General features: G+C 39.1%; 1 protein-coding gene across 12 annotated transcripts in view; it reads right to left on the reverse strand.

The window, feature by feature from the left end:
- SMG1 (SMG1 nonsense mediated mRNA decay associated PI3K related kinase) overlaps nt 1–14,555 on the reverse strand; it is a 121,549-nt gene that overhangs the window by 77,559 nt on the left and 29,435 nt on the right. For 8 of the 12 annotated variants that reach the window (XM_047433793.1, NM_015092.5, XM_011545769.4 and 5 more), the window contains 8 exons: nt 14,375–14,538; nt 13,634–13,789; nt 9,800–9,936; nt 8,445–8,503; nt 6,954–7,167; nt 3,123–3,248; nt 2,672–2,744; nt 1,652–1,749 (listed from right to left, as the gene is read on the reverse strand). In XM_047433793.1, the coding sequence (XP_047289749.1) occupies nt 1,652–1,749; nt 2,672–2,744; nt 3,123–3,248; nt 6,954–7,167; nt 8,445–8,503; nt 9,800–9,936; nt 13,634–13,789; nt 14,375–14,538 (1,027 nt within the window). The remainder of the gene's footprint in view (nt 1–1,651; nt 1,750–2,671; nt 2,745–3,122; nt 3,249–6,953; nt 7,168–8,444; nt 8,504–9,799; nt 9,937–13,633; nt 13,790–14,374; nt 14,539–14,555) is intronic. The other 4 variants (XM_047433796.1, XM_005255184.5, XM_047433795.1 and 1 more) reach the window with 1 other exon arrangement.

Here is a 14,555-nt window from a genome sequence, read left to right on the forward strand (position 1 = left end):
CAATTCATTTTAGAATAGATTTTTAGGCTTTTAGAAAGAGAACTGTGGCCCATGAGAATATTCATGACTCTAAATATAAAAATGGGTTTTACCTAATTATTTCAAAAAGCCAACATTAAACCCAACAGACAACAAATTAAAGAAATAATCTCTTAAATCAACTCAGAAAGCTGTTAGGGAAAAATAAATTCTAGCACATATGCTCTAGTTATATGTAGGTATAAATGAAGACGGAAGCTTTTGCCACTCCTGAATTAGTTTTTGGCTAAAAATCTCATTCTAGGTATTCTTTGAGCCACTCAGCTCAACAGTAAGTCCTCCAAACCAAGAGCATGCACATGAAGAGCAAAGGGAGATTACAAGACCTGGTCTACAGATGTGTAATTGAAGAAGTACGATATATGAAAAGGACAAGATTCGCAAAAACTGGGATACTAGAACCAATGTATGCATCTACCTAAAATTAAGCAGCAAAATAACAGAAGAGAATGAGATCTTAAGGATAACAAGGGGAAGCATCTCTACAAACTAGAATGTGTGGCTTATGAGAGGTAAATCAGCTTTAAACGTGGGCTGTGAAAAAAAGACGTTCTAGGTGTGGGGGCAAAGAAAAAACAACACAGAAGCGAAACACTTCCTTGCTTTTCTAGGAAAGAGTAAACAAATCAGTACAGCTAAAGGTACTGAATTCCTGTCGACTACAAGCAGCAAAGATGAAAAAAACAAAATGAGGCTAAAATCTTTATGGGAGCCTTGATTGGTTGATCTGAATAGGGGAGAAACACAAAGAGATTCAGATAAGAGATGGCACAGAGTTAAGCCACGACAGTGGGGCCAGAAAAGCCAAGTGCCAGTAACAGAGGCTTCAGCAGCGCTCTTAAAGCTCCTATGCTATATTCGTACAGCCACAAAAGCTGGCTAAAGCCAAGGCTTGTCCTCCAAAGTACGATTCAAGATCTCCTGTACATATGTAAGAGGAAAATCTTTAGGGGCTTTTGGTGTTTTGTGTTTTTTTATAACACCACATCAATTTGCTTTAAGACTCTGAAGACCGGGAACAAAAAATAAAAATAAATAACAAAAAATGTCTTTAGAAAAATACCAGCTACCAAGAGTATGTAAAGCTTTGCGAAATACGAAGCTTGCAACGTTTCTTTTAGTCTCTCCAGTAATTCTCCTGGTAACTTAAACACATCTGAAATAAATGTTTAAAATATTGACTGGGCACGGGGGCTCACGCCTATAATCCCAGCACTTTGGGAGGCCGATGCGGGTGGATCACCTGAGGTCAGGAGTTTGAGACCAGCCTGGCCAACATGGTGAAACCCTGTCTCTACTAAAAATACAAAAATTAGCTGGGCATGGTGGCGGGCACCTGTAATTCCAGCTACTCGGGAGGCTGAGGCAGGAGAATCATTTGAACCCAGGAGGTGGAGGTTGCAGTGAGCCGAGACCGTGCCATTGCACTCCAGCCTGGGTGACAGAGCGAGACTCCATCTCAAAAAAAAAAAAAAAAATGTTTAAAATATTGCAATGGGCATGTAATTTCTGCTTAAATGTCAGGAGGTCTGAGCCATTTTAAAATAAATCTAGCACAATTTAAGATTTTTTCTTAACCAAAATTTTAAGAAACAGCTTTCTATATACTCACCTCAGCATATGCTTCCATGTCTTCCAGAAACTGACCAAGAAGAGTAGTAGAAAATGCAAGATCAGCTACCCAAAATGGCTCCAAACTCTGCAACCACCCTTGGAATCGTATAAGAAATTGTGAAAGGGTAGGGGGGAAAAAAACACCAAAAAATCCAAATTAAAAAAAAATAAGAGGCTTGTTTTAAGAGGTATCTGGTTTTCAAGCAGCATACCCTAAAACATGTCCTATATCATAAAATTAAGACTGTTAAACATGCTGATCACAATTAACCAATACCTCTTTAATTAATACCTCTTTAATTTCTGCAGAAATTAACAGGTAAATGTTATTTCCTTACTTTTTCAGTAAATTTCATATCTATATTGTCACTACACATGACTTAAGACTAAACTGCCACAATCTACCATTGGCCCAGCTAATCCCAGGGCCACATCTAACCATTAAAGGTGTATACTCATCTCCTCAGTGAAAATGAAACAGGCCACTATCACCTGAATATCCTATTTTCAAAAGTTTATTACACCATGTAAGTTACGAGAAACTATGACACTTGAAACAAACTGAAATGTGCAAATGAGCCACGTTAGTCATTCACTTAAACTCCAAAAAAATGGGAAACAAAACCATTTCTCATTTATGACAATTCTCCAAATTAACCCTGTATTTCCTTTTTTAAAAAAATTACCAGAAAAACAATAAAATGTGACAAATAACTTGGATCTTCCATTGTCCACTTCAGGGTATTGCCACTACAATATATTCTTACCATACACTTTCCTACCAGTACAAACTACAAATAACTTGGGTAAGTCCTGTCTGTACTTACTGTACCCACCTACTAGTAATTTCCTCTGAAAATACATATTTAGCTAACAAGTAATGTTCATTTACAATAAAACATTTCTCTGAATTAGTTTTCTTGCATTATTAAAGAAATGGTATTGATAGATGGTCACTGGGGGACCACTGCTCCTCCCCGACAGTATTTAAATAACTGGTATAGGCTGCAAGACTTACCAGATACCTGCTGCGTGAGCGAAGGTTTCTGAGTATGATCTATATGCCATCCAACTAATATATCAACTGTATCCTTGATGGAAACAAAGAGAGAGGGGGCCAATCATTTTAAGATATTACTGCCATTCACCTGTGGACCATTTCACAGCAAAAGATCCTAAAAGGAGCATCTATGTTCTACCTACTTGACATTCTAGAAACTTAGAAAGGGGAGAGGGGCAGGAAAATAAAAGAACTACATTTCTGACAACAATGAAATAGTTTATTTTCTTCAAATATTTTAAGGTATGAATGTCAGAAAGAAAAATGCGGTATTTAACCCTGGAACCTCAAATATCACTGATTATATTCAAAGGAGCTGAGGCATTGTTTTCCATCTGTTTCCTCAGATCCTCACACACACAACCATCCCCCTCACCCCATGATCTGAAAAGCGGAATGAGGAACTCACCCTAAAATTAGTGCTGAAAATATGAGGGTAACATCGAGCCACCAAAAGAATGCACTTAACACATTTACAAAGCAATTCTGGTGTATCCACATTTTCAAGAATAGACTGCAGGCTGGTCATTACAAGCTTAAAAATAAAAAGTTACAAACCGTGAACATTCAACAAAATAGGGAGAAAACAAGCAAATTAGGTTCATTATTTACTGACTACATAAAAAACTGAATATGAGACCAAGAAAAATAGATTCTGTAGTTTTAGTTAAAAAAAAAAAAAATTGACTTGTAAATCCCAACTACCTGGGAGGCTGAGACACAAGAATCGCTTGAACCCAGGAGGCAGAGGTTGCAGTGAGCTGAGATTGCACTGCTGCACTCCAGCCTGGACAATACAGCCAGACTCCATCTCAAAAAAAATAATAATTAATAAATAAATAAAATAAATTGAAAATATTTCACTCCACTAAGATGTTAAGCTAAAAACAAATACTGTTTTCTCTTCTTCAATGTTTGTTAATATTAGTCCTTTGACATCAGTTAACATTAGTCCTTAATAACATCTGTTTACAATATCCCTAAATGCTCTCTTTAAGATTCTACCTGTGATTAAATTTCAAATACAAAAAAGTAAAATGGATTTGGGAAACTTTTCTATAAAGTACAACAATTACTTTGCAATCCGAAATATAAAGCAAATTTTATATAATCTATGCTTTAGTATATTAGTACTTGCTTCATATTAAAATTAAAGAAGATCAGTATGGGACCACACATAAATAACATGCAGGCTCAGGTTACCATTATACATAAATTTTTAAAATAAATATAGGGCAAAAATAAAATAATAAATCATTATTTGTCATTCCATTGAAAGAATATTTATTTTGCAGCTGTTAGAAAACATTTTTCCCTAAAAAAGGAAAAGCTCTGCTTTACATAGCAATCTTATAAAAGAAATGCTAGAATCAGAAAACCATCATTTTAGGCTGGGTGCAGTGGCTCACACCTGTAACCCCAACACTTTGGGAGGACGAGGCAGGTGGATCACTTGAGGTCAGGAGTTCAAGACCAGCCTGGCCAGCATGATGAACTCCGTCTCTACTAAAAATATAAAAATTAGCAGAGCACAGTGGCACATGCCTGTAATCCCAGCTACTCAGGAGGCTGAAGCAAGAGAACTGCTTGAACCTGGGAGGCGGAGGTTGCAGTGAGCCGAGATCGTGCCACTGCCCTCCAGCTTGGACAACAGAGCAAGATTATGTCTCAAAAAAAAAGAGAAAAAGAAAACCATTATTTTGCAATAGCCAATGTTATAATCTACACAGGCACAGACTATCAATGCTAAAAATCATTTAAAAGACATCTTAGGGGTAATTACAGAAATTTGAATATAGAACACATATGTAATAAAATTCATTTACTTAGGTATGATTACAATATTCCTGTTATACAGAAGAAAAACCTTATTCTTGGGAGATGCATACTAAAACATTATGGGGTGAACTGTCATCATGTGTATGGTTTTCAGATGCTCAACAAAGTGTGTGAGAAAATAAAACTGTGGCAAAATATTAGTAACTGGTAAATCTAGGTGAAGCATATATTATGAAATTATTATCATATTTACAGGTATTTATTTAATACTGGTGCATCTATCTTTCTATGAATGTGAGAATTTTCACAAGAGCTGGGAAAATGTTCATAATTGTGCATGCAGAATAAGCCCGAGCTGGTGGCATTCTGTTTAGTTACAGGTAATTTTCTGAATCTTCCCTCAAATTTTTCTCAAACCTCTATAATCAAGGGGAAAAATGTTTTGTTTTGTTTTTTTGAGATAGGGTTGCCTATAATGGAGTGCAGTAGCTTGACCATAGCTCACTGTAGCCTCAACCTCCCAGGCACAAGCAATCCTCCTGCCTCAGCCTCCAAGTAGCTGGGACTACAGGTGCATGCCACCACGCCCGACTTATTTTTTTTTCCTTTTTTTTTTTTTTTTTAATAGAAACAGGGTTTCACCATGTTGCCCAGGCTGGTCTCAAACTCCTGGACTCAGGCGATTCACCAGCCTCAGCCTCCCACAGTGCTGGGGTTACAGGAGTGAGCCACCATGCCCAGTTAAAAATACACTTTTTATTTAAAAAAAAAAAAAAAAAAAAAAGAACATTCCTTATATTTCCTTTATATTTTTTAAACTACATACCCAAAATAAAGCATATCAAAAACAGTAAAAAAAAAAAAAAAAAAAAAAAAAAAAAAAAAAAAACCCTAATATCAGATATTCCGAACACATCAATACTATAATTTAATCACTTAAAATCTTACTCAAAACTAAATCAATGATCTTTTAGGCCAGGTGTGGTGGCTCATGACAGTAATCCCAATACTTTGGGAGGCCGAGGCAGGAGGATCACTTGAGGTCAGGAGTTCAAGACCAGCATGGCCAGCACAACGAAACCCCATCTCTATCAAAAATACAAAACTTAGCCAGGCTAGTGGCACACTCCTGTAATACCAGCTACTCGGGAGGCTGAGGCAGGAGAATCACTTGAACCTGGGAGGCAGAAGTTGCAGTGAGCCGAGATCATGCCACTGCACTCCAGGCTGGACAACAGAGCAAGACTCTGCATCAAAAAAAAAAAAAAAAAAAAAGGAATGATGTTCTAATATATTCAGATACACAAATGTGAAATAAAACTAAGTAGAGCTGGTATTCATTTACACATAATTATCTTATACCATTTGGAATAAGAATTTGGGGCACGTTAGCAAACCAAAAGGCTCAGAAAGAAGTTGTGATATTTAGTTCTTGTCTCCCTCTACAAATGTGAAGCACTCTTCTATCCAGCATTCCTAGTGGAGTTCCTATTTTCAAATTTGCAAATCATTCTGGTCCTAAGCAATCTCAAAAAAACATTTCTAAAAACCAAAGAGGAAAAAAATCCTTTTTTTTTTTTTTTGAGACAGAGTCTGGCTCTGTTGCCCAGGCAATGGTGTGATCTCGGCTCACTGCAACCTCGGCCTCCCAGGTTCAAGCGATTCTCCTGCCTCAGCCTCCTGAGTAGCTGGGACTACAGGCGCGTGCCACCATGCCTGGCTAATTTTTGTATTGTTAGTAGAGACGGGGTTTCACCATGTTGGCCTGGATGGTTTCGATCTCTTGACCTCATGATGTTTCCACCTCGGCCTCCCAAAGTGCTGGGATTATAGGCATATAGGCCACCACGCTTGGCTGAGGAAAAAAATCTTAAAACTAACTTATTTCAAATCTAACTTCAACATGTATCTTTTTTTTTTTTTTTTTTTTGAGACACAGTCTCACTCTGTTGCCCAGGCTGGAGTGCAGTGGCGTGATCTCGACTCACTGCAAGCTCCGCCTCGCAGGTTCACGGCATTCTCCTGCCTCAGTCTCCCAATTAGCTGAGACTACAGGTGCCCACCACCACGCCTGGCTAATTTTTTTTGTATTTTTAGTAGATATGGGGTTTCACTATGTTAGCCAGGATGGTCTCGATCTCCTGACCTCATTATCCGCCTGCCTCGGCCTCCCAAAGTGCTGGGATTACAGGCGTGAGCCACCGCACCTGGCGTGTAAGCCAATTTCTTAGAAGAAATCTCTCCCTCTTTCTCCACATATATGCATATATGTATGTAGCACTGATCCTTGAACAGTGTATCCTTTACTCAAACTGAGAAAGAGGAATTTTTAAAACATATTTCCTATCAGTAGATAACCCCTATTCTATGTTTCCCTTCTTCAAGCTCCCCTCCAAGGACATGTGTTAAGGGACAATTTTCTTCCCAAGTACATCATGCATTTTTCCCCCTTCATTCTTACCTGCATTACAGATGAAAAGGCTTTCTTTTCTCCTACAGTCTCTAGTGCTTTGTAGGTGGCACATAAGTAGAGGAGTTTAACTTCATCTTTTGCAGATGAGCTAAATTTGCTAAAAATCCACTTGAAGATCTTCTCAGCCTCATAGCTCAGAGAAGCACAAAGAAGGCCAAGACAGCAAGCTCCCTCCTGTCTCAACTCCTGAAGCAATTTGCTACTGTGTTTATTTTAATGCAAACAAAAAACACACACAAAAGGCTTAAGTTTTCTATGATGACACGAGTAATACATCTTACAAAAGAATGTCTTAAGTGGTTTTTTAAATTTCTATTCAAACTACATAAAAGGTTGAAATTTTCTCCACTCTAAATACTACAGTCTGTCTAGCCTGCATTGCCCTCAAGTATCTGTCTGATATTACTTTCTTTTTACAAAATCAATTATTTACAAACAGTGAGGGAAGGCCCAAAAATGCTAAATTCCATCTCAAACTGTATTAAATAACTCTCAGAAAAGGGCAGCAACAAATAATTAGATAAAACACACTATACATAACTACATTCTACATAATATCCAATATGTAATGACTATAAAATAAAAAATGGTAATAGTTAAATACAGAAACTTAAAAGGATAACAGTAATGAGTAACTCTATAAAATAAAACCATCAAAAGGCACTAAGGTTTATGACCAGCTGAGATAAATTTTGGGTACTTGCCAACACTGCAAATCTTTGGGAATCACCATAACAAGAAATGACCACACACCTCTGGAGATTCTAATAGCCAGAGAATATATGATTTGGATCCACTCTTACCCAAAGAAGGAAACTCCTTTTTACCTCTATTCTCCAAGCAGTTTCAAATTCTCTAGTTTACAAAAACTAATTTTATTCATTCATGCCTGCATCAAGAGTTTATGCCATTCCATAAGTCAAGACTCGGTTATCCAGTGAGACTAGCAAATTAAAAAAAATAAAATATTCCAGCCAGGCACAGTGGCTCATGCCTGTAATCCCAACACTTTGGGAGGCTAAGGTGGGTGGATTACCTGATGTCAGGAGTTTGAGACCAGCCTGGCCAACATGGTGAAACTGCAAGCTCCGCCTTGTCTCTACTAAAAATACAAAAATTAGCTGGCAGTGGTGGTGCACACCTGTAGTCCCAGCTACTTGGGAGGCTGAGGCAGGAGAATCACTTGAACCCGAGAGGTGGAGGTTGCAGTGAGCTGAGATCGCACCACTGCACTCCAGCCTGGGCGACAGGGTGAGACTCCGGCTCAAAAAATAAATAAAGTATTCTTTTCAAGTGGATTCCATTTGTATTCAACCGTAATTAACACATAATTAATGCAGATAAAAATGACAAGACCCACTGAAATGTCAATAGATGTTCATAAACAAAGCCAGTGGGTTTGTCTTCTTGTGTATTGTTAAGTAATTTCTAAAAATATATTTTAAAGTCATTTAAACTGAACCATTATTAGTTACTTACCTTTCATTAAGCACGTCATGTACAGCAGCCAAGATATTATCCAATTGTTTAACTAGTACCTTTAAAAGAAAACACATTTATAAAAACTTCAAATTCCTATACTTTTAAGAATAGCATTGTGTACTTTTTTACTTGTCTTCCCCTCCAAATTCTAATTCAACAGTACTTTAGTTTCTTTATTATTCCCACTCCCCAATGAGCATGTATCAGGAATGTCATGTTTCCTTTCAGACTATGAAAGAAATTCACCCACTGGAAACACAGAGCTGTGATCATCAACAAAAAAATAAACTCAAAAAGCTTGTTTTATTTACTTTGAAATCCATTTGAAAAATTGACTGATGGATGGAGGGATAGATGGAGAGACATGTGACAAGGCAGTATTTAGGGTAAAATGTTAACGACAAAAATTAGATGACGGGTTTAACAGATTCAATGTCAAATTCTTTCAACTTGCTATATATTTGAACCTTCTCATAATAAAATTTGGAAGGAGGAGAAACTTGCTTTGATCCAAGTGTCATCTGCCTCACTAGACCATTTTCATTAATTTTCTCCTGCTCATTATCAAGTTCTTTTTTTTTTTTTTCAAGATGGAGTTTCACTCTTTTTGCCCAGGCTGGAGTGCAATGGCATGATCTCAGCTCACTGCAACCTCCGTTTCCTGGGTTCAAGCGATTCTCCTGCTCAGCCTCCCATGTAGCTGGAATTACGGGCATGTGCCACCACGCCCAGCTAACTTTGTCTTTTTAGTAGAGATGGGGCTTCACTATGTTGGGCAGGCTGGTATCGAACTCCTGAACTCAGGTGATCCGCCTGCCTTGGCCTCCCAAAATGCTGGGATTACAGGCATGAGCCACCACACCTGGCCCATATCAAGTTCTTAATTGGTGTAAAGAAAGTGAAGAAAAAAATTTAACCCTTCCTATACTTTGTTACATTTCTGTTGTTGTTTTAAGAGACAAGGACTCCCTCTGTCGCCCAGGTTGACATGCAGAGGTGTGATCACATCTCACTGCAACCCTGAATTCCTGGGCTCAAGTGATTCTTCCACCTCAGCCAGGTGTAGTGGAACATGCCTGAAGTCCCAGCTACTCAGGAGGCTGCAGTGGGAGGATAGCTTGAATCCAGGAGTTTGAGACTGCAGTGAGCTATGATTGTGCCACTGCACTCCAGCCTGGGCGACAGAGCAAGATCTTGTCTTTAAGAAGAAAAAGAAATTACATATTAGAGAGCATTAAGTTCTCGATCATCATAATACAGACTTTCCCCATTCTTAAACTACTCAAGGTAGCATTACCTAGTTTATTATGGAAACACAAAAATCCTCATATTTCCAAACATACTATACTTACCAGCTTATTTTCTGGTTGCTGAATAAATTCTTTCAACTGCTTTACAGTAGCCAATCTTCGGTCTCTGTCGTCTTCCCGGGTGATCCTCCGAAGAAGATTCGACAGTCGAGACTCATCAGAATAAGACATCGATCTCTCTGTGAATATATAAACATTTTGTTGTCCATTGAGTATAAATAAGCAAAGATATTTTTAAATTTTTCAAATTAAAAATTATTTAAATAATAACTAAATTATTATGGTGGCTCATGCCTGTAATCCCAGTACTTTGGAAGGCGGGTAGATCACCTGAGTTCAGGAGTTTGAGACCAGCCTGGGCAACATGGTGAAACCCTGTCTCCACAGACATACAAAAAATTACATAAACTAGCCAGCCAAGGTGGTGTGCACCTGTAGTCCCAGCTACTCGGGAGGCTGAGGCAGGAGAATCACTGGAGCCCGTGAGGCGGAGGTTGCAGTGAGCCAAGATCACCCCATTGCACTCCAGCCTGGGTGACAGAGCAAGACCCTCTCTCAAAAATAAAATTACATCAAAAGTCACAGTCCACTGGTCAATAAAAGCTCAGGGAATATAGGTCCTATCACTCTTTTGTTCATCTCTATATTCCAGATCCCAGCAGAGTACCTGGCAAATAACAGACCCTCAAAAAAATATTTGCTGAAGGAAACAAGAAATGAATAACCCTAGGCCAACCGAACACCTCAATCCAGAGGACTGGCTGGGAGAGAAAAAAGAAAGGCCTTAGTAACAACTTTCTTTGGGTCCATTCCAAACTGTTTTCAACATGCAGGTAAAGAGCCCGGGTGTAGGTAAATTAAACAACTTCCAAGGGGTACGGATAAAGTCTCAATCAAGTAAAAACAGGATATAGGCTTCTACTTATCATCTAGGTATCCCACTGGAGGAAAGCCTCTTATTCACATTATCATCATTTCCCTGGGATGAAGTTTTCACACATTTAGTTCAACAAATGTCTAATTATCATCTACCACATGCAAGGCATGCCTCCACTAGAAAGGTAGCAAACCACAACTTTTCTCCCCTTATTTTTTAATCACAAGAACAAGCAAACAATAGTGAATACTATGAGTATAATAAAGATGCCTTTAAAAACTAGATTTTTGCTGGGCGAGGTGGCTCTTGCCTGTAATTACCCAGCACTTTGGAAGGCCAAGGCAGGCAGATCACTTGAGCCCAGGAGTTCGAGACCAGCCTGGGCAACATGGTAAAACCCCATCTCTACGAAAAATACAAAAATTAGCTGGGCATAGTGGCACATGCCTGTAATCCCAGCTACTCAGGAGGCTGAGGTGGGAGGATCGCTTTAGCCTGGGAAGCGAAGGTTGCAGTGAAATCACACTAGTGCATTCCAGCCTGGGTGACAGAGCGAGACTGTCTCAAAAAACAAAACAAAAAAAAACCTCAATTTTTGCAAAACATTTTCAACTGTGCTATTTACCATAATTAGCCAATACATACGTAAACAACAAATCACAAAGGGTCTGACAGTTTCATTTCTAAGGTATGAGAAAACATTGGTAAAAAAAGAAACCAGAAGGCTGGGCATGGTGGCTCACACCTGTAATCCCAGCACTTTGGGAGGCCGAGGAAGGCAGATCACGAGGTCAGGAGTTTAAGACCTGCCTGGCCAACGTGGTGGAACTTCGTCTCTACTGAAGATACAAAAAATTAGCCGGGCGTGGTGGCGCGCTCCTGTAATCCCAGCTACTCGGGAGGCTGAGGCAGGAGAATCATTTTAATCTGGGAGGTGGAGGCTGCAGTGAGCTGAGATTGCGCCACTGCACTCCAGCCTGGGTGACAGGGAGATACTCCATCTCATAAATAAATAAATAAATAAATAAATAAATAAATAAATACAAGGGGAACAACACACACTGGATCCTTTTGGAGGGTAGGGGGTGGGAGAAGGGAGAGGATCAAGAGAAACAACCAATGGGTACCAGGCTTAATACCTGGGTGATAAAATAATCTATACTACAAACCCTCATGACACAAGTTTACCAATGTAACAAATCTGCACTGGTATCCTGAACTTAAAAGTTAAAAAAAAAGAAACTACAATGTCTGAGAGAAGAATAGGGTTTTTACAAATCCCTAGCCCATAGAGTATTTCAATAAGGACAGATACCAAAAATGTCATCAAGTTACCAGCTGGGAAATTAGGCTCTACTTACAATTCTGTCACTAGCAAACTACATGACCCTGAGCCTTTGAAGAAGAGGAATTGTTTACTGAACTACTTTAGAGTCGCTGTTTAGCTTCTATAATATCATAAGTCTCAGGCTTCAAATACTCTATTTTAACAAACAGCATAGCCTTTGAATTCATTCCACTTGTGAAAACATAAAAAGAAATCAGTTTTTTAAAAGTTATATACCAACAATAAAAGCTACAGGCACAAAGATTTTCACCAAGATACACAAAGCACACACACAGTATTAAAAAAAAAAAAAAAAAAGTCAAAAACTAAATGTCCAAAAAGTAATTACATCTGACAAAGCCCCATAACTCAGCTTTACCGATAAATTTCTCTTTAAGGAAAAAAATTATCATTACCTCCAATCCTCTGAACTTTCTTTTTTGTTGTTGTTTTTTTGAGACAGAGTCTCGCTCTGTCGCCCAGGCTGGGGTGCAGTGGCGCGATCTAAGCTCACTGCAAGCTCCACCTCCCGGGTTCACGCCAGTCTCCTGCCTCAGCCTCCCGTGTAGCTGGGGCTACAGGCGCCCACCACCGCACCCGGCTAATTTTTTGTATTTTCAGTAGAGACAGGGTTTCACCGTGTTAGCCAGGATGGTCTCGATCTCCTGACCTCGTGATCCGCCCGTCTCAGCCTCCCAAAGTGCTGGGATTACAGGCAGGAGCCACTGCACCTGGCCAATCCTCTGAACTTCCAAGGCACTCACCTATACAGTGAGGCTACATCATAAGGCAGAAATGCTATCAGTGTATTTAACTTTAGAAAAGTGCCCACTCTAGGCAGGGCCCGGTGGCTCACGCCTGTAATGAGCACGCGTGATCACTTGAGGTCAGGAGTTCGAGACCAGCCTGGCCAACATGGTGAAACCCTGTCTCCACTAAAAATGCAAAAATCAGCTGGGTGTGGTGGCATGCACCTGTAACCCCAGCTACTTGGGAGGCTGAGGCACGAGAATCACTTGAACCTGGGAGGCGGAGGTTGCAGTGAGCAGAGATTGCAGCACTGTGCTCCAGCCTGGGTGACAGAGCAAGACTGTCTCAAAAAAATATATTGAAAACAACAACAAAAAAAAAAACCAGAAAAGTACCCACTCTAGGGGGCAGGGGGAAGGAGAGCATCAGCAAGAATAGCTTAATGGATGGTGGGTTTAATACCTAGATGATGGGATGATCTGTGCAGCCAACTACCATGGCACACGTTTACCTACATAACAAACCTGTACATCCTGCACACGTACCCTGAACTTAAAAGAGAAAAAAAAAAAAGACAGAAAAGTACCCCCTCTCTATATATATCTATATCCTCCACAGGCCCAAGAGTTCAAGGACTTGCTGTAGTAAGAGCCTACTATGCACTATACATTCAATATCCACGATAATTGGGTAAACCTTTTCTGTAAGATCTTATCCAGTCTTCTAATCTTGTTTTAAGAGGCTTCTCTTTTAAAATGTACTATAACCTTTCTAGTGGGAAATGAATGTAAACAATTTTTACCTGCACAGTAGGCTAATCAACTTATGCCTGTGCAAGGCGTTAGTAAGAGGCATCCAGAATAAGAGGAGATACAAGTCTTTGGAAGGTGTATGTGATTGGTCCCCGTTTTCCCAGCCTTACCCTGTGATTTCCTCATGTCTTTGGTGGCTAAAGCACGACTGCCATGCTGAACACTGGTGAACTCAGGGCTGGTCACATTGTTAACCCTCAGCTCTTGCCCCAACGACTTCCGACCATAAGTATTTTCCCCAGATCCTCCATTGACACTGTAGCCACCTACAAACAGCAATGTGTACGTTATTTAAATATGATTGTTCGTTTCATTCAGTCAATTTCCTGATAGCTCAGGATCTTATTACTCAATCTGCAGCTCAACCAGCCTTTGCTTCTCCTACCTTTTTCCTGTACTGTCTGCCTTGAAAATCATTTTGATTTCTTTTAATACACCTTTGAAGTTAAATTAATTTTATTTTGATCCCTTCATTGGAAAATAAGCAAAGAAATGAAAACTAAATTAAATCAAATTTTGTACCTTGTTTTAAAACTTTCTTGAAGTTTAGAGATAGTAGCCAAGAGGAACTTCAACCTTAGCTAAATATTTTTGAAAATAAAAACAAAAATAGTATTGTATCTTCCTTGTAAGAAAACTGCATTTATGAATTATGTATGGAAAAAATTTTAAATTTTAAAAATAATAAAGTGGATAAATGTCCTATGAGGTTTTCAGAAATAACACTGCATTTGTTATTCATATTTTAAATATATTAGAAGAAAGCAAGAAAGTTGGGGGTATAAGAAGGCAGGAAGGTGAGACAGGTAGGTTCAAAAAACATGCTTGTAGCAATAAGAAAATATATATACCCTTTTCGTCATTCTGTATGTCAGCGTGGACTCTGGTATCATCGTGCCTTTGCCGAGACACCACAGCTGAATTTGAAGGTTGCAGTCCATAAGAGGAAGAACCACCTCTATCTCTGGATGAAGAATATTTTAAATTATCTGGGTCGGCTGATGCACTATCAGTTCTATAAAAAGAGAAAAG

This window comes from Homo sapiens, chromosome 16 (assembly GCF_000001405.40).
Source record: "Homo sapiens chromosome 16, GRCh38.p14 Primary Assembly".
NCBI lineage: Eukaryota > Metazoa > Chordata > Mammalia > Primates > Hominidae > Homo > Homo sapiens.